This window comes from Homo sapiens, chromosome 11, assembly GCF_000001405.40.
Source record: "Homo sapiens chromosome 11, GRCh38.p14 Primary Assembly".
In the NCBI taxonomy this organism is placed as follows: Eukaryota; Metazoa; Chordata; class Mammalia; order Primates; family Hominidae; genus Homo; species Homo sapiens.
The window spans coordinates 102,109,419-102,132,149 of NC_000011.10; the positions used below are offsets into that span (position 1 = coordinate 102,109,419).

General features: G+C 42.6%; 1 protein-coding gene and 1 long non-coding RNA gene across 15 annotated transcripts in view, besides 2 other annotated features; one reads left to right on the forward strand and one right to left on the reverse strand.

The window, feature by feature from the left end:
* On the reverse strand, positions 409–1,039 carry YAP1-DT (YAP1 divergent transcript). The gene has a single exon (NR_198976.1). It is a non-coding gene; the product is annotated as a YAP1 divergent transcript (long non-coding RNA).
* Positions 752–801: a silencer, noted in NCBI's record as "silent region_3858". NCBI's record gives its function as "represses an Ori minimal core promoter by ATAC-STARR-seq in GM12878 lymphoblastoid cells {active_cell/tissue: GM12878}" and the evidence as "EXISTENCE:reporter gene assay evidence [ECO:0000049][PMID:35858748]".
* Positions 812–941: a silencer, noted in NCBI's record as "silent region_3859". NCBI's record gives its function as "represses an Ori minimal core promoter by ATAC-STARR-seq in GM12878 lymphoblastoid cells {active_cell/tissue: GM12878}" and the evidence as "EXISTENCE:reporter gene assay evidence [ECO:0000049][PMID:35858748]".
* Positions 1,029–22,731, forward strand: part of YAP1 (Yes1 associated transcriptional regulator) — a 122,978-nt gene continuing 101,275 nt past the window's right edge. For 12 of the 14 annotated variants that reach the window (XM_005271378.4, XM_005271381.4, XM_005271380.4 and 9 more), the window contains exons 1-2: positions 1,029–1,751; positions 4,726–4,976. In XM_005271378.4, the coding sequence (XP_005271435.1) occupies positions 1,431–1,751; positions 4,726–4,976 (572 nt within the window). In that variant the 5' untranslated portion in view covers positions 1,029–1,430. Of the gene's footprint in view, positions 1,752–2,130; positions 2,354–3,029; positions 3,328–4,725; positions 4,977–22,731 lie in introns of those variants that run through there. The other 2 variants (XM_011542555.3, NM_001195045.2) reach the window with 2 other exon arrangements.

Sequence of the window (22,731 nt, forward strand, 5' to 3'; positions counted from 1 at the left end):
AGTGGCTTCCAGAAGGGCTCCTTGTACATCAGGTGCCTGGGATGACCTCCTTGCCCATTCATTTCTTATTCAGTCCACATTAACGGAGTCCACCGTTGGGCCAGGCACAGGGATAGCAGGGGTAGGGACCCAGCTCCTTGAGGATGAAAGACAGGTACAGAGGCATGAATGCTTGTACCTGAAGACGCACTAATTTTTTGGGTTGCGGCTTCCAGTGACTATTGCAAATTCGAGTACTAAAAAAGTTGATGTGATTTCACTATTTGGAAAATGTAGTGTTTTTGTTTCTTTTAATAAGTTACACTGAGTTACAGACCTGGTCTCAAAGCTTCAATTACAGTAACCGTTTACCCCTCTCAAGTGAGTTTTTGCAGACTAACAGATAAGTGAAACAATTACAAAATAAAGTTAATGCTGAAAACAATGGATCTTTATTAACATCAATGCCGGCTCACGGTATCTATTTTAACTCCAATCTATCCTCGCGGCTTTAAGCTCGCACAGGCGCTCCGCTCGGTCAAGCCGGGGTAACGCGAGGAGGAGGAGGTGGGTTCGCACATCCTCTCTCCACTTCTTTCGGCCTTGGCCCTTTCGCAGGTCCAGGCGAACTGGAAGCGCCTTTCCCGAGCACGGGCGGGGAAAAGGGGCCGAGCGGAGCGGAAGAACTTCCTGCAGCCAAGGGCGCCCGCGTTCTCCGCAGACACCACAGTTCGGACCCGGATTGGACCCATCGTTTGCGGTTCGCGGGGCAGAATACGGGGCACGCTTCGGGCCCCTGCCCGGCTGAGCGCGGGCGAAGGGCGGACCGGGCCAGGGCGAGCGGGTCACGTGCGGCCGGGAGAGGCGCCGCGGGCCGGGAGTGTGCAGGAATGTAGCAACTTGCAGCGAAAAGTTTCCCTGCGCTGCCGGCCGGGCCGCGGTGCGGGCGGGCGCGCAGAGGAAGGAAGAGCCGAGAGGAGGCGGGGCCGCGGCGGCGCGGGCGGGCGCTTCTCCTAACTTTAGTTTTGGCGTTTGAGGCGAGTTTCTGTCTCAGTCGGGCGCAGCCGCCGCCAGGGAAAAGAAAGGGAGGAAGGAAGGAACAAGAAAAGGAAATAAAGAGAAAGGGGAGGCGGGGAAAGGCAACGAGCTGTCCGGCCTCCGTCAAGGGAGTTGGAGGGAAAAAGTTCTCAGGCGCCGCAGGTCCGAGTGCCTCGCAGCCCCTCCCGAGGCGCAGCCGCCAGACCAGTGGAGCCGGGGCGCAGGGCGGGGGCGGAGGCGCCGGGGCGGGGGATGCGGGGCCGCGGCGCAGCCCCCCGGCCCTGAGAGCGAGGACAGCGCCGCCCGGCCCGCAGCCGTCGCCGCTTCTCCACCTCGGCCCGTGGAGCCGGGGCGTCCGGGCGTAGCCCTCGCTCGCCTGGGTCAGGGGGTGCGCGTCGGGGGAGGCAGAAGCCATGGATCCCGGGCAGCAGCCGCCGCCTCAACCGGCCCCCCAGGGCCAAGGGCAGCCGCCTTCGCAGCCCCCGCAGGGGCAGGGCCCGCCGTCCGGACCCGGGCAACCGGCACCCGCGGCGACCCAGGCGGCGCCGCAGGCACCCCCCGCCGGGCATCAGATCGTGCACGTCCGCGGGGACTCGGAGACCGACCTGGAGGCGCTCTTCAACGCCGTCATGAACCCCAAGACGGCCAACGTGCCCCAGACCGTGCCCATGAGGCTCCGGAAGCTGCCCGACTCCTTCTTCAAGCCGCCGGAGCCCAAATCCCACTCCCGACAGGTAACCTCGTTGCCCCTCTCCCCGTTTCCCCGTCGGGCGGGCCTCAGACCGGGGGGGCGCTCGGGAGCCGCGGCCGCCAGCTCTGGTCAGGGGAGGGGGGTTGCGGGAACTCTAGCTGGGGTGGGGGTCCCGAGGCGAAGTGGAACTGGAGTCGTCCACTCCGCCGCGGTGACCAGCTCCCCACTCCTCCCAGAGTCCGGGGCTGAGATTTGTTTTTCCCTTCTGAGTTTCTCTCTGCGGTTGCAGCCCCGGGGGGCGTGCTTTCCCTCCTTCTTCCTTTCTTTCTTCCCGGGGTTCCCGAGAGGTTGGCGGGAGTGGAGGAGGGGTGGGGAGGAAGGAAGGGGGTGGGGAAAAGTCGGGCCTGGGCCGCGGTGGGCTTGCACAATGCGCGCGCCTCCGCGCGCTCCGCACCTTCGCTCCCGCCGGGCCGGGCTGGGAAAGGGGGAGGGGGGCCTCTGGCATTTGTGTGTGGGTGTGTTGCCAGCGGCGGCCGAGTTTGTGAAGTTGAGCCCTGGGCCCCTTTCCTTTGCGGCCTCTCGGTCCACTTCAGTCTCCTGGGGGAGTCAAATAATTGTTCTCTTGTTTTCCAGTGTTGATTAGAGGTGGGGGTAGAACCGGTCCATTTAGTTTTTTGCTCTTTCTTTCCTTCCCCCCTCCCGTTTCCCCTCCCCCTCCCGTAAGCATTTATTTTCCTCGCGGCTCAGGCGATTTCGGAATACAGGTTTCGGGCTTCCCCTGCCCAGACTTTCCTGGAAGTTGTTTATGGAGTTCTTTCACCCCTGCTCTTCCCTTGTGTGTTGGAACTTGGGCCGGCTTGCTCTTATCAAACTTAGTAGGTCGCGTGTTGGTTTCCCAGTTGTAGACTATTATTTACAGTCGGCTGAAACGCTTTTGAATTAGCCACATCTGTACGTTGCGCAGGAACTGAGTTGCGCTTTACAGTACCGAGGTTTTAACACAAGCCTTTGATAATACACTGCAGGTTGACTCATAGGCCAAGTCCTGCCTAGTTCAACTGTGATTAAAAGTTAATGTTTGGGAAGCGATGACTAATTCTAGGATCGCCATTGCTTTTTAATTCTTATTGCGGATATGAACATGGCTGCTATTCCACATACACAATGTTCGATTATTGTGCCAACTTGATTCAGCATAGAAGTGAAACTGTTTATAATGAGTGTTAACATTCCAATAGGTCCCAGTGGATTTGTTTTGTGTAGGGTTCTCTCTTTTTCTTTCTTTTTTATTTCTTCTTCTTTTTTTTTTTTTTTTTTTTTGAGAACTTGCTTCAGGCTAAACTTCAGCATAGGAACTTTGCCCAAAAGTTAATAGGTTTTCCAAATACTGCAATGTAGTTAGCCCACTCGGGATGTAACTTGAGTGGAAAGAAGAGTTACCGCCCCCACTCCCATTCCCTCTCCTATTTGCAGGCCTGTTGTATAGTCTCCTGTCGGAGACCAAAGGGTTTTGGAACTCAGAAAAAATCACTTAACCTGATGACAAAAACCCGGGTTAAGGAGGAGGAAAGAAGGAAAAACAATTTAGCTGCTTGCCTAAACACTTCAATTTGTCTTAGGTATGCTTTTTTCTCTTACCCCTCGAAGTGGGTTTATGGACTCATTGTGGGTAAATGTATGTTGGCATGCACCCTACAGACTGCACGGTATGTTTTCAAAGTATAATACACATAGATTGGATCCCCCATTTTGTGGCATCAGCCACAAAGAATTACAACTGGGAAGTGTACTTTTTCTTCTAGTAAATAATTTTTACAAGAATTTATATCCAGCAGTTCTAAAATTCATAAACTATTATAGTTTTGTTTGTTTTAAATAAGTTTTTAACTAAGTGTTTTGCATCTGTAAATTCGACTTTTATTTCTCCTAATGATTTCCTAAATCATACTTATTCTGATGGGAAACTCAAAAAGGTGTATCACTTTAAGGCATTAATGACTCTACTGAGTCCTTCCAGTTTCCTTACCTTTGTGAATCTAGGAAATTCTAACTTTTTGATAATCAAACTCTAATGCTAATTAAAAATATTTTAAAAACTATGCAAGATTATGAATAGTACAAATCTAGGTTGTAAATACTATTGTTCACAACACAAACTGGTGACTGTAAGTTCTTTCATATACATCCATTTTTCTATCATGAAAACTATTTTATAAAGGAGAAAACAGGCATATGGAAGTTAAGATACTTGTTCAGTGTCACACTAGCCAACTTAGACTGGAACTCAGATCTTTGGGGTCTGAATGCAGAATTTTTTCTGCTTGTATAGAGTTGTGGATGTGTGTGAGTTCTTAAGTTAAAATTGGACTGATAACATCTTTATCTTCTACATACAAAGATATAGTTGGGTTTTTTTCATCCTGTTCATTGTAGATGGCTTTTAAGAACATTTGGGCAGTTCAAATTTGTTGCTCTCATTAAAATTTGTGTAATTTGTTATGATTTCTTTATTGATGGCATTTTATCATGGTTGGAATAAATGACGAGGGCTTGATTTTTCTTGAGTTTGACCTAGAAAAAAAATTAATTACTTAAAACCTAGTAAAAAATACATATTCTTTGTGTTGTGTTTATACTTAGAACATTTTAGAACTTGGAAAAGCACCCATAACTGCACTGACCTCTTAAAAATTAGGTTTTAAAATTCACTATTATTTTTGGAATGTTTTATTCATTCAGTACTAGTTGCCCTTACATGTCTAGTGTGGACCAGGGGAAATTCATTAGATGGACTGCTCATCAATACAATTACAAACATTTATAAAATTTATATTAAAATTATATAATATTAAAAGTATCCATTTGAAAACCTGTGTTCTCCAGTGTCGAATATTAAATGTTGAAATTTTCCTTTGGTACTTAGATATTCGGCTGCAATTAAGCGCTGACTGGGAAATTTAAAGGGACTCAGTTGTGTTTTTTCTTTTTTAATTTTTCATCTTAATATTCCCTAATAGGCCAGTACTGATGCAGGCACTGCAGGAGCCCTGACTCCACAGCATGTTCGAGCTCATTCCTCTCCAGCTTCTCTGCAGTTGGGAGCTGTTTCTCCTGGGACACTGACCCCCACTGGAGTAGTCTCTGGCCCAGCAGCTACACCCACAGCTCAGCATCTTCGACAGTCTTCTTTTGAGATACCTGATGATGTACCTCTGCCAGCAGGTTGGGAGATGGCAAAGACATCTTCTGGTCAGAGATACTTCTTAAAGTAAGTGAAAATAATGGTGGGAGACAGTTATCTAAGACAAATATGTATTGGAAAACACAGTAAAGTGGTGTCAAGATACAGAATATCATTTATTTTTATGTTTTATTTAATATTTATGTTAAGCTCTGTAGCTCTATCTTCCATATATATGTTTCAGTTTGGTATGACCTAAATACCTTTGTTAGTATGGGTAATATTTTGAAAGCTTTACTGAGTCTTGGTTCTGAGCCTCTTTATAATCTTTTCTTTTGTGGAAGTTTGGTTATTCTCATTTTGAGCTTGTGCCAAACCTTTTAATTAGCCTAGCACAAAACAGAAAGAATACCATGAAAATTTTCAAATTCTGGGAATTACAGGGCTAGCAGCGTCTTACAAAATACGTATGGTGCTACTTGTATCTTTTTAAATAAATATTTTATTGGTAGAGAACTACAAAATAAGTAGGGCTTTTGGGGGAGTCTAATTTTACAGTATTTTAAATTGTGAAATGACAAGCACTACAACTGAAGCTTGATGTGACTTACCAATATTTCCCCCCAAAAATGTAAAGGGAAATAAAAATTTTTAGGTTTCATATGCAGTCGCTCAGTGGCAAACTTCTTTCAAGCTAGTAGGTCTTCACAACAGAAACCCTCCTCTCTGGGAAAACAAAAACATGACCGTTGGGTTGTTTATTTATTTTTATTTTTTCAGTCCTTTTGTGTTTAATAAAATGGCAGAATTACACTAGGCTGAAAAGACATAAATAGAATTTTCTCTCCTCTGATTTTGAAATTACAGATAAGACCTCAATTTTTTTCTGGCTTGTTTGGATCAAGTATATATTGAAATGTTGACTAAAACTAATTATGATAGACTGAAATTGATGTCTTTAAAAAAGCTCACTTAATAGTGTTTAATCAGGTTGAGATAATAAAGTGAAAAACAGTGTAAGTTTTGATTCGGATAGGTCTTGACAGTCTACTCCTAAGGCAAATGTAACATTTATTTATCATACCAGATAACACCATTAAGGATGTTTTGTTGTGTGAATCCTAGTATGTGTTTTATATTGATTGTCTTCCAGGGTGGGTTGCTACTTTGTAATGTAAGATAGAAAGTTTTGTGACAGACTTACAGAAGAGCAAAGGAAAAGGTTTGATCATGAAAAGTTCGTACAGTTTTTTTTTGCCCCCTTTCCTGCAACTTTTTCTTTTCTTTTCTTCTTTTTTTTTAAAAAAATTCATTTTCTGGTGTCCTGGTATCCATTTCAAAGGATCAGGTTTCAACCAGAACAGTAAAGGGCCTGAGACTGGAAAGTACACACAAGTCTGGCAAACTCATCTGCATGAGCAAGATCATTTGTTCTCAAGCAGACATCCAAAGTAAATGATTGAAAGAGCTGCTAGCTGTGAAGGATGTGTCTTGAAGGGGAAGGGAGTGGAAACAAACCAGGTTGTTAGGAAGAAAAAGAAAGGCTGCACTTTTTTGAACCTCTCCCTGCTGGGTCACATGCTGACCTGGGGAGATTGTTAAACAGCTTAATAGCCTGCTTTCCTTCTTTCTTTGGTTGATGCTGTGGCTAAAAGTATAAGGTTAAAGAGCAACATTTATGCTCTTCTTCTTAGTTCTTTGTATCTTGTAATAATTGCTTGTAGGTGATACCTGCCTACGATTTCATTATTTTGAATGAATGATCTTTTTTTGAGCTGAAATCAGTATTCTAGATACAGTTGGCCTTCCGTATCTGTGGGTTCAGCATTCATGGATTCAACCAACCTCTGATTGAAAATATTTGGAAACAAATTACATCTGTATTGACTAATGTACAAACTTTTTTCCTTGTCATTATTTCCTAAATAATGTAACAACTATTTAGCCTTTACGTTGTATTAAGTATTATAAGTAATCTAGAGGTGATATAAAGTATATGGGAGAATATGTATAGGTTATATGCAAATATTATGCCACCTTATATGAAAGACCAGAGCCTCTGTGGATTTTAGTACATGTAGGAGGTCCTGGAACCAATCCTTGACCACAGATGCTAAGGAATGACTATTCATTTTTCAAAGTTTCCAGTGATTCTTCCTTTGTGAAGAAATGTTTCTCTTAAAGGTATTGATATATGTAGATGGATTAATGAAGGGTATATACCTTCCAACCCCAGTCACCTCAATTCACCCCTGTCAACTATGGGCCTGTAAGGAAGATAAACCAGGCTAAAATAAATAAATCTCAAATTATGTCATAGGAGAAAAGGTTGCAAGGGTAGAGAGATATTTACCCGGAAAAGAAAAAACTGGGAGGAGGAGAGATAAGACATGATTGTTGTTTCAGTGTTTCTGGGGAACTTTTATGTGGGAGTAGGATTAGTCTTACTATATAAGAAATGTGAGGAATTTTGATTCCATGGAAGAATTTTCTTATATAAAACTTTTAAGAACTAGAAGAGTTTTCCTGGACAGGTAAATCTTGCTCAATAAATGTAGGTAAAATCATGGTTACTTGGTATCTGTCAGGGATTCTATGGAGGCCCCTAAACATTGGATGTGGGAGAAGAATGCTGTGGGCTTATAAAATTTTGTATTTTAAAGAGTATCTGCTTTATGAACATTATGCAATTTGGAGAAAAGTTATGAAATAAGATTATTTCACCTTCTCCAGTTAGCTACTTCCATGATGTTATGGACCGTATAGTTGTTACAACTTCTTTTTGTGTACTGAACAGACAAATGAGATTAATATCCTAACCATTAGTCAAAGATGATGATAAACTAAGCTTTTGGTGCCAAGTTTCTGTTGTCAAAGTTCATTTTTATCCTAGTTTTGATGTTTTAAAATAGGGCTGTCTTTGTAATCAATATTTATATACTTTCCTCTTGTATCTAAAGAGGAGTGTTGTTGTCATCAGATGTAGAATGAAGATTTAAATTAGTTGCCTTACACTTGTTTCCGCAATGAAACATTTTATTTTAATGCATCTTTTTAGATATTTGTTGGAACTGACTTTTAAGTTACAAAGTCTATAACTTATTGAGATTTATATTTGGCATGAAGAACCTGACTATAAATGGTCCAGACAGGCAAGACGATGTAATTTGAGAAAAAACTTAGAAATGTTAAGAAACAACCCAGTTGTTGGCCTTGTGACCATAGATGATTGAGTTTTTGAAGTTAGTTGGCCTATCATCTAGTTTCCAGGCAGCATGATTACTGAAAGATTATAAGCAGGCAATCATTCGTTGTTTTAAAGCCCTCCTTAGGTCAGTGAGATCTTGTGGAGGAGACTCATACCTTACTTTGGCAAGTGATACGGTGGAAGTATGGTGCTAGTTACATTTATCAGTGGCTTGTTTTCAAGCTCTGGGATGAATGTGAAGTATGTAAACAAGGCTTAGCCATATAATATTTGTTCTACTACATTTACTATTCAAAACTATTTTCTTTACCATCGTATTGAGCTTTCATTTTAAAAGAATTCATTCTCTTTATGACTCTGAGAGTTATTACCTTCTTCAGCTGTCTTACGGTTTTCCTACAGGAAATAGTTCTTCAAGTAGTTGGTCAACAACTTCCTATTTCTTTATAAGCTGCTGAATAACTTCCTGACTCAGTATTCTATAATATCTCTGGTTTCAAGGAGTGTTTTACTTGCAAGTTTATTTTATTGACTCTGATGCCTTATAACTATTACCATGTTCAAAGATATGTGTTCTTATATATAATGTACCATGTAGGACCTTATAATTTGATTTAAGGAATCTGGATCAGTGATTTTAAAAGTTTGTACATTTGCATTGTTTTAATAATGTTCTAATAATTTTTAAAGCACAGTTTTGTTTCATTTCCATTGTTTATCATTTTCTGAATAACTGGCCACAATGTTTTTAGTCTGCGAAGATTCAAGGTTTTTTGTGGCTGTGATTTGATTAAGTTATATTGAGTAGCTTGGTATACAATTTAAAAAGGATATGTTTTTCAGAGATTTTTGACATTGCATGGCATAAAACTACCCATATTCCTATATTAATTTGCCTTGTAGATGTGATTGATCGCTATACATAGGCTGATTCTTTTTTCTTTCTTTCCTTTTTTTTTTTTTTTTGAGACAGAGTCTTGCTCTGTTGACCAGGCTGGAGTGCAGTGGCACGATCTCAACTCACTGCAACCTCTGCCTCCTGGGTTCGCGTGATTCTCCTGCCCCATCTCTACAAAAATACAAAAATTAGCCGGGTGTGTTGGCGCACACCTATTGTCCCAGCTAATCAGGAGACTGAGGCAGGAGAATTGCTTGAACCTGGCAGGTGGAGGCTGCAGTGAGTTGAGATTGCACCACTCCACACCAGCCTGGGCGACAGAGCCAGACTCTATCTCAAAAAAAAAAAAGACTATGAACATATACAGTGTATGTTGTTATCATATACAGTGTACCTGGTATTTATACATTGTATACAGAACATATACAGTGTATCTTCATAATAAAGATTATGCCTCTTTAAAAGGAAGTTTCATGAAGAATAAGGCTATACTGTTTCTTTCTGTATCAAGTATAACCCAGAGTTTCCCTTTAAAACTGAAAAGCTTGTAATTTTGCCATTAAATGTTAAGTTGCACACGTGCACATGTATACACAAACAAAAAACCAGTTCAAATTGCAATCACGAAGTATTTCCCTATTTGAGGGAAGGCCAGTCTCTGCTTGTTTGTCTTGCTATTGAGGCTGAGTGGAGAGAGAAGATGAAAGTACGCCCTTAGCTCTGGGGGGTGGGGGAGAGCTTACTTCTGCTCAGTGGGTGGGCATCCCAGGGAAGAATGGCACACAGTGCCACAGTGATTTAGGGAGAGAACCCTGGAGAAACTGTATTCACCAGTGGCAGAAGAAAAACAGTTGGAAGATAGTAGATGTGACAGAGTAAATAGAACATAGAGATTAACATATTCCCTGGGAAAAATAATGGAATTTTTTTAGTGTGAACTAAGAAAGAAGTTCACTAGAACTTCTTTGCATTATTTAATTAATTTGCAGCATCATTCAAAGAACAGACTGTCACTTGGTGTGTTTAAAAATTATGATTCTTAGTTCTAGAAAGAATTCTAGAACTATCTCTGGAAGTTTAAATGTAGCAGACTCAATTGACTGCAAGGTGGTAGGCTAATTTTCTTTTTAAAGTCACATTTAAAAAAAAATACCCTTTCCTAAAGCTTTATCTTAGCCATTAAAAAAAAACCCAAACATCTAGATAGCATTTAAATAGTTGAAACTTGGAAAAAAAAAAAACCCAGGTTTTTACAACCCTAAAATAAGTCCTCTTTAGTTATGTAGAGAAATATTTTACTTTGTAGTTAGAAAAATAATGTGAATTCACAGCTTAAAATACTCAGGGTATCATGACTCTGCATTGCCTTGTACCTTAAGGCTTTGAGGGGAGGTAAACTCTAAACTGTTTTATTGCCAAAATATATATAGAAATTTAAGCTTAGGACCAATCAAAGTGAAGTCATTTTAAAAATCAGTTGCTAAGATTTAAGATTATTCAAACTTAATGCTACCCTCTGTAATAGCATAATTTAGCCATTAATTGTGGCTTGAAAGTTTTTAATAATAGCTGAGTAGCATTGTATAAAGGGAGGTCTTAAAGAGCTGTGTCGTTCTATAACTGTGGTTACTAGGTGATGCACTTCTTACAAAAAGGGCTTCTGATTCTAGGATTAATCAGAACTACAAGCCATGAAAGGGACATTGCCGTTTCTATGAAGAAGAATTGCTTCATGGTTCTGGTTGCTCAAGTGCTGTAGCACCAAGTTTCCTGGGAACAAGTACTGCCACCGTGGAAGCACTTTTATTTACGTAGGGCTTGACCCCTTCTAAATGCAAACAAAGAAGTTTGGTTTAAATCACAGCAGTCCTCCCCACCTCCCCTTTAATATTCTAGACAAGGAAAATGGTCAGTATTTAATCCTCATTTTGCTCCTAGCATGAGAAGAATCATAATTTTTAAACACACCAACCAAGTGATAGTCTGTTGTTTCTTTGAATGATGTTGCAAATTAATAAAATAGTGCAAATGGCAGTATCTATTATTTGGGTTTTCTTCTACCAGATATTTTCAGTGCTTTATTTGTGGTTAGTGCCATTACTTCATGTGCTGTCACTTTAATTTGTCTCTCTATCTCTTTATGGGATGTTAGTCACTCGACTATCAAGTTCTTCAGCAGGATTCTCAGTTGGGGGTGGGTGAGGGGACATTTTATTAAAAGCTCCTTCCTTTGTCTTCTTCCAATTGATTGCTTAACCTAAAGGGAGAGGAGTTCTGTTTGTTTTTAAAGTAAGGTATTTATTTGGCCAGTAAGTATGTTTAGAGAGTTGATACTTGCATGAAAATTGCTGCAGATTTGATTTGGGATTTGGAGTAAAGATAGTGTGCTTGTTAAAGTGTTACTGTGTGCTTTGACAAAATGGAATGTAGTATAGAAAGTTGCTTGAAATTCAACTTCTCGTATATCCTGAACTGACTAATAAGGAGCAGGCTTTTGGGATAAAAAGTACATACGCTGCCACCTAGGAGGTGAAGCAAGATGTGGATTTTTTTTTCCTGTATATGGAAATAGATGTGGGGGTTCTTTTGTTTTATATTTATAAAACAGTCCTCCCTCACTCTTATTCCTTCATGTGCGGTAGTCCCTCCCCACCATCCATGAGTTTCCTTTCCAAAGTTTCAGTTACCTGCCATCACTGTGGTGTAAAAATATTAAAATGGAGAATTCCAGAAATAATTCATGGCCAGCCGTCGTAGCTCACGTCTGTAATCCCAGCACTTTGAGAGGCTGAGGTGGGCATATCCTTTGAGCCCAGGAGTTGAAGACCAGCCTGGGCAATGTAGCAAGATCTCATCTCTATTAAAAATACAAAAAAATTAGCCGAGCATGGTGGCACCTGCCTGTAGTCCCAGCTACTTGGGAGGCTGAAGTGGGAGAATCACCTGAGCCTGGGAAGTCGAGGCTGCAGTGATTGTGCCACTGCACTTCAGCCCAGCCTGGGCAATGGGAGTGAGACCTTGTCTCAAAAAAAAAAAAAACTAAAAACAGAAAACCAGTTCATAAGTTTTAAATTGCAGTGTTCTGAGTAGCGTGATGCAATCCTGCAATCTTGTGCTGTCCAGTCTGGAATGTGAATCCTCTCTTTGGTCAATGCATCCATACTGTCTATGCTACCTCCCATGCCACCACCCCATTGGTCACTTAGTAGCCACCTCAGTTGTCAGATCCAAAGACTGTAGTATATATATAGGATATAGGGTTGGGTACTATCTGCTGTTTCAAGCATCCACTGTGGGGCTTGGATCATTTCCCCTGAGGATAAGTGGGGGACTGCTGCCTCTGATTTTAGGCATTTCTTTTAATAAGGTATATTATTTTTTTGTATTTGTTTGGTTTATTTTGAGACAGTCTTAACTCTGTCACCCAGACTTGGAGTGCAGTTGCATGATCACTGCTCACAGCAGCTTCTACATCCCAGGCTTGTGTGATCCTCCCACCTGAGCCTCCTGAGTAGCTGGGACTACAGGCATCCACCACCATGCCTGGCTAATTTTTAAATTTTTTGTAGAGACCAGGTTTTACCATGTTGCCCAGGCTGGTCTCAAACTCCTGGACTCAGGTGAACCTTAGGCATGAACCACCACACCTGGCCAGGCATATGGTTTTTGTTATAAAACTAACATTTATTAGAGAGAATCAGAAAATTCAGGAAAAGAGAAAGGGGGCCTGGCGCAGTGGCTCATGCCTGTAATCCTAGCCTTTTGGGAGGCTAAGGCAGGCAGATAACTTGAGGGTAGGAGTTCAAGACCAGCCTGGCCAACAGTGAAAACCGATCTCTACTAAAAATAGAAGGAAAAAAAATGGGCGTGGTAGCCCATGCCTGTAATCCCAGCTACTCCTTTTGGGAGGCTGAGGCATGAGAATCGTTTGAGCTCAGGAGGCAGAGGTTGCAGTGAGCCAACATCACGCCACTGCACTACAGCCTGGGCAACAGAGCCAGACTCTGTCTCAAAAAAAAAAAAGAAGGAAAGAAAACGGAAGGAAGCACCAGATTCTACCAGTGAGAGGTGTTTGAAGAACCTTGTTTTCATAGCCTGTGTGTAAACGTATATTTTGAAATTTAATTTTTAGGGAAGTAACCTGTGCATTGATTTAGAAAATCCCTTAATACTGTAAGGTTTATAAAGAAAAAGAGCAGGCTGGGTATGGTGGCTCACGCCTGTAATCCCAGCACTTCGGAAGGCCAAGGCGGGCGGATCACCTGAGGTCAGGAGTTTGAGACCAGCCTGGCCAACATGGTGAAACCCCATCTCTACTAAAAAATAGAAAAATTAGGCAGGCGTGGTGGCAGGCGCCTTAATCCCAGCTACTTGGGAGGCAGAGGCAGGATAATCGTTTGAACCTGGGAGGTGGAGGTTGCAGCAGTGAATCGAGATCGAGCATTGCACTCTAGCCTGGGGGACAAGAGCGAGACTTCTCTCAAAAAAAAAAAAAAAAAAAAAGCAAAGAAAAGAGCAATGACCCTCTTTTCTTTATCTCTGGCTTGCAGCTTGCATTCTTCAGAGGCAAGCACTTTCCACTCCTTCTAGGTGTTTTTTCCGCTGGTACTTTTAAAAATTCCATATTTATAAAATGTGTTACATTGCTATTTCTTGAATTTTCATCACCCCTCAAAATCCTTTTCTTTAATCCTCCCATTATAATGACTATAATTGTTTTGTTAAATATTTTTACGTTATGACAATTCATGTTGTGCCTACAGCAGAGTCATATAATGTACTATGATTTTCTGGAAAATTCTGTATTTCCTTGCCTGGCCAACTGTGATTTTGTTTTTGCCGTGATTTTTTGTTTTTATTTCTGTTGCTTTTTGCCCACCTTGGAGCTATCCTTAGAGTCTTTTGTTTTCCTGCTCTGTGCTAGACTTGTTGCTTCAGAGTTGTCATGTTAGGATGTGCCTTGGCTTTCATCCTGGGGAGTTTCTGAATCACTCTTATGGGTTGGGTACCCAATTTTTCTCTTTCTTTATTTGCTCACTCTTTGAGTTTGTTCATCCCCTAGAAATTTGCAGAAGAAAGGGGTACATGGGAGGTAGCTGTGTTGAGATCTCTTGTCTCTAAAACTATCTTTCTCTGTTAACATTTAGTGGGCAGTTTGGTTGTAGCATTTAAGCTTATTTTCTCGTGAAATTTTGATGGCATTACTCCGTTTTCTTTTCTTTTTTTTTTTTTCTTTTTTTTTTCGAGACACAGTCTTGCTCTGTCACCCAGGTTGGAGTGCAGTGGCTCGATCTCGTCTCACTGCAAGCTCCACCTCCTGGGTTCATGCCATTCTCTGGCCTCAGCCTCCCGAGTAGCTGGGACTACAGGCACCCACCACCGCGCCCAGCTAAGTTTTTGTATTTTTAGTAGAGACGGAGTTTCACCGTGGTCTCGATCTCCTGACCTCGTGATCCGCCCACCTTGGCCTCCCAAAGTGCTGGGATTACAGGTGTGAGCCACCATGCCCGGCCACTCCATTTTCTTTTTCTTTTTTTTTTGTTTTTTTGTTTTTTTGAGATGGAGTCTTGCTTTGTCACCCAGGCTGGAGTGCAGGGGTGTGATCTCGGCTCATCGCAATCTCTGGCTCCCGGGTTCAAGCGATTCTCCTGCCTTAGCCTCCTGAGTAGCCGGGATTACAGGCGTGTGCCACCATGCCCCAGCTAATTTTTGTATTTTTAGTAGAGGCGGGGTTTCACCATGTTGGCCAGGTTGGTCTCGAACTCCTGACCTCAAGTGATCTGCCTGCCTCAGCCTCCCAAAGTGCTGGGATTACAGGCATGAGCTGCTGCGCCCGGCACTCCATTTTCTTCTAGCTTCCAGTTTGCTAATTGAGTGTTTGCTTTCCTTGGGGATTTTAGTATTTTGTTCTTTATATTGGGGGTCTGAAATTTCATGATGTCTGTTGATATGCTCTTTTAAAATTCATTGTCAACAATGCCTAGTCATGTATCAGTTCATGTAAAGAAACTCGGTCTTCAATATGGATGATGCCCCTCAAGATTTTGCAGTACAGTTGCCCTAAAGTACAATTTCCAGGACTGTCTTTTCAGGCATGGAATCTTTCAGTCCTGGAAAACATTTCTTTCATTAGTTCCCGGGTAATTTCTTCCAGTCTGTTTTATCTGTTATTTTTTTTCTGGAATTCTTGCTAGTCAGGATAACTGTTTTAATTTTCTTATCTTATCCCACTATTTTCTTTCACTTAGCATTTTGTTATGTTTTCTGGGAGATCCCTTCAACTTTAACTTTTAATTTTTCTGTTGATTTTGTTTTCTTTTGTTTCTGAGATGATGTGGGAGGGGGGCGGTCTCACTCTGCTGCCCAGGTTCGAGTGCAGTGGCGCCATCTCAGCTTACTGCAACCTCTGCCCCTGGAGCTCAAGCGATCCTCCCTCCTCAGTGTCCTAAGTAGCTGGGATCACAGATTGCGTATCACCATGCCTGGCTAAGTATTTGTGTTTTTGGTAGAAATGGGTTTCACCATGTTTCCCATGGTTGGTCTCAAACTTGTGAGCTCAAGTGATCTGCCCGTGTCCACCTTCAGAAGTGCTGGGATTACAGGGATGAGCCACCGTGCCTAGCCAGATTTTTTTTTTTTTTTAGACAAGGTCTTCCTCTGTTGCCCAGGCTGGAATGCAGTGGCACGCTCAGGGCTCACTGCAGCCTCAACTTCTGAACCTCAGGTGATCGTCCTGCCTTAGCCTCCCCAAGTAGCTGGGACCGGCTAATTTTTGTGTGTGTATGTTTTGTAGAGACAGGGTTTTACCATGTTGCCCAGGCTGGTGTCGAACTCCTGGGCTCAAATGATCCACCCACCTTGGCCTCCCAAAGTGCTGGGATTACAGGTGTGAGCCAGTGCGCCTGGCCTGATTTTCTTTTTTCCCAAAAAGCTATTTCTCATTCTTTTTTTTTTCTTTTCTTTTCTTTTTTTTTTTTTTTTGAGACAGAGCTTCGCACTGTTGCCCAGGCTGGAGTGCGGTGGCACAATTTTGGCTCACTGCAGCCTCCGCCTCCTGGGTTCAAGTGATTCTCCTGCTTCAGCCTCCAGAGTAGCTGGGATTACAGGCATGCGTCATCATGCCTGGCTAATTTTTTTATATTTTTAGTAGAGATGGGGATTCACCATGTTACCCAGGCTGGTCTTGAACTCCTAACCTCAAGTGATCCGCCTACCTCAGCCTCCCAAAGTGCTGGGATTACTGATGTCAGCCATATCACGCCTGGCCTGTGTATCATTCTTAATTTACAGTGAGTCTTTTCTGAGCTCATTGTTTATTATTTTTAATAACATGCTGTTCTTATTTTATGGTTGTAGTAATATAATATCTCCCTTAGGATATTATACTGTTTCTTTTTATATTTTGTGCTGATGCCTTCATTGTCTAGGTAGGCTTCATTGGAGAGTAATACAACAGGAGCCAAGCCCGGAAGTTGCAGGGACCCCTGAATGCCACTGTCTTAGTAATTTCCTCTTTTAGCAGCCACTATCTCTAGCTAAGTCTGCCAGTCTGGAGAGCACCAGTGGTGATGGGAGTTAGGACTGAATACCAGTGTTCTTGGGCTTGACAATGTGGGGCCTCATCCCTGCTCTCAGCTATGTCATGTGTTTGAATCCAGAGTCTCCAGGTCTGTTTCTCTGAAATCTGAATAATCGATTTCCTCCTTGGGCCAAGCAGAGAGGTATGCAGTAGGTTTTTAAGAAGTTGTATGTAAGCTGAATTTTTGTGAATCCAGTTTATAATTACAGGTTGACTATAGGAAGTTGCCAATTTTCTAAGCCCAAAACAGTGACTATTAGCAATTTTTTATGATTTGGTTTAAACCTTACAAAATCACTTTTTACTGAATCCTTGATATGGTTTGGCTGTGTTCCCACTGAAATCTCAATGTGAATTTTATCTCCCAGAATTCCTACATGTTGTGGGACAAACCCAGTGGGAGGTAATTGAATCACAGGGGCCTTTCTTTCCCGTGCTATTCTCGTGATAGTGAATAAGTCTCATGAGATCTAATGGGTTTATCAGGGGTTTCCGCTTTTGCTTCTTCCTCATTTCTCTCTTGCCCCCGCCATGTAAGAAGTGCCTCTCACCTCCCGCCATGATTCTGAGGCCTCCTTAGCCATGTGGAGTTGTAAGTCCAATTAAACCGCTTTTTCTTCCCAGTCTTGGGTATGTCTTTATCAGTAGCATGAAAATGAACTAATACAGTACATTGGTACCAGTAAAGTGGGGCGTTGCTGAAAAATACCCAAAAATTTGGAAGTGACTTTGGAACTGGGTAACAGAGGTTGGAACAGTTTGGAAGACTCAGAAGAAGACAAGAAAATGTGGGAAAGTTTGGAACTTCCTAGAGACTTCTTGAATGGCTTTGACAAAAATGCCGATAGTGATGTGAACAGTCCAGGCTGAGGTGGTCTCAGATGGAAATGAGGAACTTCTTGGGAACTGGACCAGAGGTGACTCTTGTTACGTTTTAGCAAAGGGACTGGTGGCAGTTTGCCCTTGCCCTAGAGATTTGTGGAACTTTGAACTTGAAAGAGATGATTTAGGTATCTGGCCAAAGAAATTTCTAAGCAGCAAAGCATTCAAAAGGTGACTTGGGTGCTGTTAAAAGCATTTAGTTTTATAAAGGAAGCAGAGCATAAAAGTTCAGAAAATTTGCAGCCTGACAATGCAGTAGAAAATAAAAACCCATTTTTTGAGGAGAAATTCAAGCCAGTTGCAGAAATTTGCATAAGTAGCAAGGAGCCTAATGTTAATCCCCAAGACCAAGGGGAAGATGTCTCCAGGCCATGTCAGAGACTTTCACGTCAGCCCCTCCCATCACAGGCCTGGAGGCCCAGGAGGATATGGTTTTGTAGGCTGGGCCCAGGGTCCCTGTGCTGTGTGCAGTCTAGGGACTTGGTGCCCTGTGTCTCAGCCACTCCAGCTGTGGCTGAAAGGGGCCAACGTATGGCTCAGGCTGTGGCTTCAGAGGTTGGAAGCCCCAAGCCTTGGCAGCTTCCACTTGGTGTTGAGAGTGCAGTTGCACAGAAGTCAAGAATTCAGGTTTGGGAACCTCTGCCTAGATTTCAGATGCATGGAAATGCCTGGATGTGTGGGCAAAAGTTTGCTGCAGGGGCGGGGCCCTGATGGAGAACCTCTGCTAGGGCAGTGCAGAAGGGAACTGTGGGGTTGGAGCCCCCACACAGAGTCCCCACTGGGGCACTGCCTAGTGGAGCTGTGAGAAGAGAGCCACCATCCTCCAGACCCCAGAATGGTAGATCCACTGACACCTTGCATCGTGCTCCTGGAAAAGCTGCAGGCACTCAGTGCCAGCCTGTGAGAGCAGCCAGAAGGGAGGCTGTACCCTGTAAAACCACAGGGGCGGAGCTGCCCAAGACCATGGGAATCCATCTCTTGTATCAGTGAGACCTGGAGTCACAGGAGATCATTTTGGAGCTTTAAAATGTGACTGTCCCACTGGATTTCGGACTCGCATGGGCCCTGTAACCCCTTTGTTTTGGCCAATTTCTTCCATTCAGAATGGCTGTATTTACCCAGTACCTGTACCCGCATTGTATCTAGGAAGTAACTAGCTTGCTTTTAGTTTTACAGGCCCATAGGTGGAAGGGATTTGCCTTGTCTCTGATGAGACTTTGGACTGTGGACTTTTGGGTTAATGCTGAAATGAGTAAGACTTTGGGGGAACTGTTGGGAAGGCATGATTGGTTTTGAAATATGAGGACATGAGATTTGGAGGGGCCAACGGCAGCATGATATGATTTGGCTGTGTCCCCACTGAAATCTCAACTTGAGCTGTATCTCCCAGAATTCCCACGTGTTGTGGGAGGGACTCGGCGGGGGGTAATTGAATTATGGGGTCTAGTCTTTCCCGTGCTATTCTCATGATAATGAATAAGTCTCACGAGATCTGATGGGTTTATCAGGGGTTTCCGCTTTTGCTTCTTCCTCATTTCTCTCTTGCCACTGCCATGTAAGAAGTGCCTCTCACCTTCCACCATGATCCTGAGGCCTCCCCAGCCATGTGGAACTGTTTAAGTCCAATTAAACCTCTTTTTCTTCCCAGTCTCAGGTATATCTTTATCAGCGTTGTGAAAATGAACTAATACAATCCTTAAGTGCTTTTAACAAGCAAATGCTTACTTCATTTATATTTGTCCTTATCAGTATCAGTTTTGCTAGCTTACCTTTTTGCATGTTAGATTTTCTTAAAGGGAGAATTACAGCTGTGACACGAGAGTGGTTAGCATTGAATGGACAGTCTAAGAATTTTGTTCAGAAGGTTTGGATTCTGGTCAGAGAGCCTGGAGATATAATTTCTATTCTTATGTATGATAAGGGAGGTAGTCCTATCTGTTCGTTTGCCATTTCCAAGTTCTTCATCTAGTTAATATGAACAGCTTTAAAAATTAGGGCTTTAAAGTAAAACAGCCTTATATAATTATTGGCCTCTCTCTCTCTTCCTTTGTCTCTCCCTCTCTTCCTTTTTTACCTCCCTCCCTCCCTCTCGCTTCCCTATCCCCAAACCCTGTGTCCCCTCCCCAGTCTCCTGACACTGTCTCTTTCTTTCTCTCATCAGTATAGATGGTGGTAGGAAAAATGTTTATATCTAAATTGATCAGTAATTGTAAATATGCAGTATACTGCATAAGTTAACCCTGAGATGTGTTTAACTGAGTTTTATCTCAGTTTCTCCCTGGCAGGTGGTGCTCATTTAATAGAGAACTCAAAAAAGTAGCCTGTGTTCAGTCCCTAATAGACCATTGTTGATGTCATAGAATAATTTTTTTTTCTATATACTATCATATGGTCAGGTAAGCATTTTTAGAGAATGAGTTAGAATTTCATGAAGACTGGGTTTAGGTTAAAATACATTCATCTGGGCCAGGTGCAGTGGCTCTCGCCTGTAATCCCAGCACTTTGGGAGGCTGAGGTGGGTGGATCACGAGGTCAGGAGTTCAAGACTAGCCTGACCAACATCGTGAAACCCCATCTCTACAAAAACACAAAAATTAGCTGTGCATGATGGTGGGTGCCTGTAATCCCAGCTGCTCGGGAGGCTGAGGCACGAGAATCTCTTGAACCCAGGAAGCAGAGGTTGCCGTGAGCCAAGATTGCGCCATTGCATTCCAGGCTGGGCAACAGAGCGAGACTCTGTCTCCAAAAAAAAAAAAAAAAAAAAAATTTACCCATAGATGATGGCTGAGATGTGTTAGGACCCTTTATTGTTTTTTATCTCAAGTTGAATTTCTCCAGGTTCCATTTTTCAGTAGTCTTGTCCTTGTTTAGGTAAAAAGTGATTACATAGGAAAATCTGTTGGGTGAAAAGGAAGCAAAACTTTTTTTTTTTTTTTTTTTTTCGAAATGGGGTCTTGCTCTGTCACCCAGGCTGGAGTGATGCAGTGGCACTATCTCAGCTCACTGCAACCTCCGCCTCCGCCTCCTGGGTTCAAGTGATTCTCCTGCCTCAGCCTCCCCAGCAGCTGGGATTACAGGCATGCACCACCACACCTGGCTAATTTTTGTAGAGATGGGGTTTTGAACTACTGACCTCAAGTAATCCACCTGCCTCAGCTTCCCAAAGTGCTGGGATTATAGGCGTGAGCCACTGTGCCTGGCCAGAAACCTTTTAAAACTGCATACAAGCAAAACCAGACCAGAGCACCATATAGCAGTCAGAGAAGAGGGTTTTCTGAGTCATAAATATTGACTCAGAAAAAAAATTCAATATTTTTCTGAGTCAAAAATATTGAATGGTGTGAGGAAGAGTGGAACAGAATTGGTACACCTTAGTTCGTGTAAAATAAGGAAGTGTGTCAGAATAGCCAAGTGCTAAGTTTAGAAATGAGCTAAATAAATGGAGATTCCTGAGACCCTGCCTGGAACCAATTCTTACCAGTGTTAAGGTCACAGTTAAAATTTCCCAAGCTCTCCCGGATAATGATTGATTGATTGATTGATTGATTGACAGGCTCTCATTCCAGTTGCCCAGGCTGGAGTGCAATAGTATGATCTTGGCTCACTGTAGCCTCAATCCTCTGGACTTAGGTGATTCTCCACCTCAGCCTCCTGAATAGCTGGGACTACAAGAATGTGCCACCACACCTGGCTAATTTTTGTGTCTTTAGTAGAGATGGAGTCTTGCCGTGTTGCCCAGGCTGGAATCAAACTCCTGGACTCAAGCAATCTGCTCACTTCAGCCTCCCAAAATGCTGGGATTACAGGCATGAGCCACCACACCTGACCTCTCCTGGATAACTACTCTTTTTTTTTTTTTTTTTTTTTTTTAAGATTTAAAAAAACTGGTAAAGAGTTGTCCAAATACAGATGTTTCTATTTTTCCTCTACACATGTTCAGACTGATACAGGTTATGTTTCCAAAATCATGTAGTTTGGATGGGTTCACTTTTAACCCCTCCCAGCTGGAGGGTATGCAGGCTTTCCTGTTAGGACTAGTACAGATCTCTTCTTATGGGTGAGAAAATAGTCACTGTTTCTTTGCAATGATATGTAAGTGTCATTGTCCTCTGTGTTTGAGGATAAACCATGCCCTCTTTGTACCTGTCTGTCTTCTTTGAGTTGGTGCCCATCATACTGCAGATAAGAATTTGCACAGCTTATCAATAAGCCAGTTCTCTCTCTTCCCTCAAATACTGGGTGGTTTTCTCAAAAAAGACCCACATGGTTCGGGATAAAGTGTTTGGTTACTTGCTTTGATGTAGTTATAGTTTCTAAAACTGTAGCCCAAAAGAGTAGCCAATGCTTAGTCTTTAGTAGGCCATTGTCGATGTTGCTCTTCCTGCCATTCTTTTCTGTGAACTCACTATAAGTGCTTTTGATCTCTTGATTTTATAAACACCTATGTAGTGGTTTTATGTAGCAGGCGTTGTTCTGGATCCCACTCTGTGTAATAGGGACAAAATTAATAACATGCCAGTCTTGATGGACTGGATAGGTCTCAAAACTTCATTGTAAGTCATGTGTCTTGTTTGCCTTTTCATTGGTAACTGTCCCTCACGATTGAGGCTATGAGTTCAATAAAGAGAGATCTTGCTGTCTTTGTTCAGCATTATGTGTGTAGCTCTTGATACATTTATTGGCAGATGACATGCTATAGAGTGCTCATTTATTTCAGAGTCCATTGGTCGACAGTCTTCCTGATTGATGACTGTAGTTTCTGCATAATTATGATTGCCCTTTTCACTCTTGAAAGTATCCCACAATGGCTGATAAATTACATATGCGAACTAGAGTATTTACTATGTGTATTCTAAAGTTAATTTTATGAGTTTGAGATTATTTTTAAGCTTTAACAGGAACTATTAAAAAAGGGTATTGTTTGTCTTCTGGATATAAAGTGACAGTAGTTCACTTTGTGGTATTATAAATTTTGTTCCATGGGCAGTGAATATCTGATTTCTTTAGGATTAAATGAGTAAGAAATTCTGTTGTAAAAGTGATACCAAGCCTGGCCAACATGATGAAACCCTGTCTCTACTAAAAATAGAAAAATTAGCTGGGCACAGTGGTGTGCGCCTGTTGTCCCAGCTACTCGGGAGGCTGAGGCAGGAGAATCGCTTGAATTTAGGAGGTGGAGGTTGCAGTGAGCTGAGATCTCACCACTGCATCCCAGCCTGGGCAACAGAGCGAGACCCTGTGTCAAAAAAAATAAAAAAAAAGAGTGATACCGGTG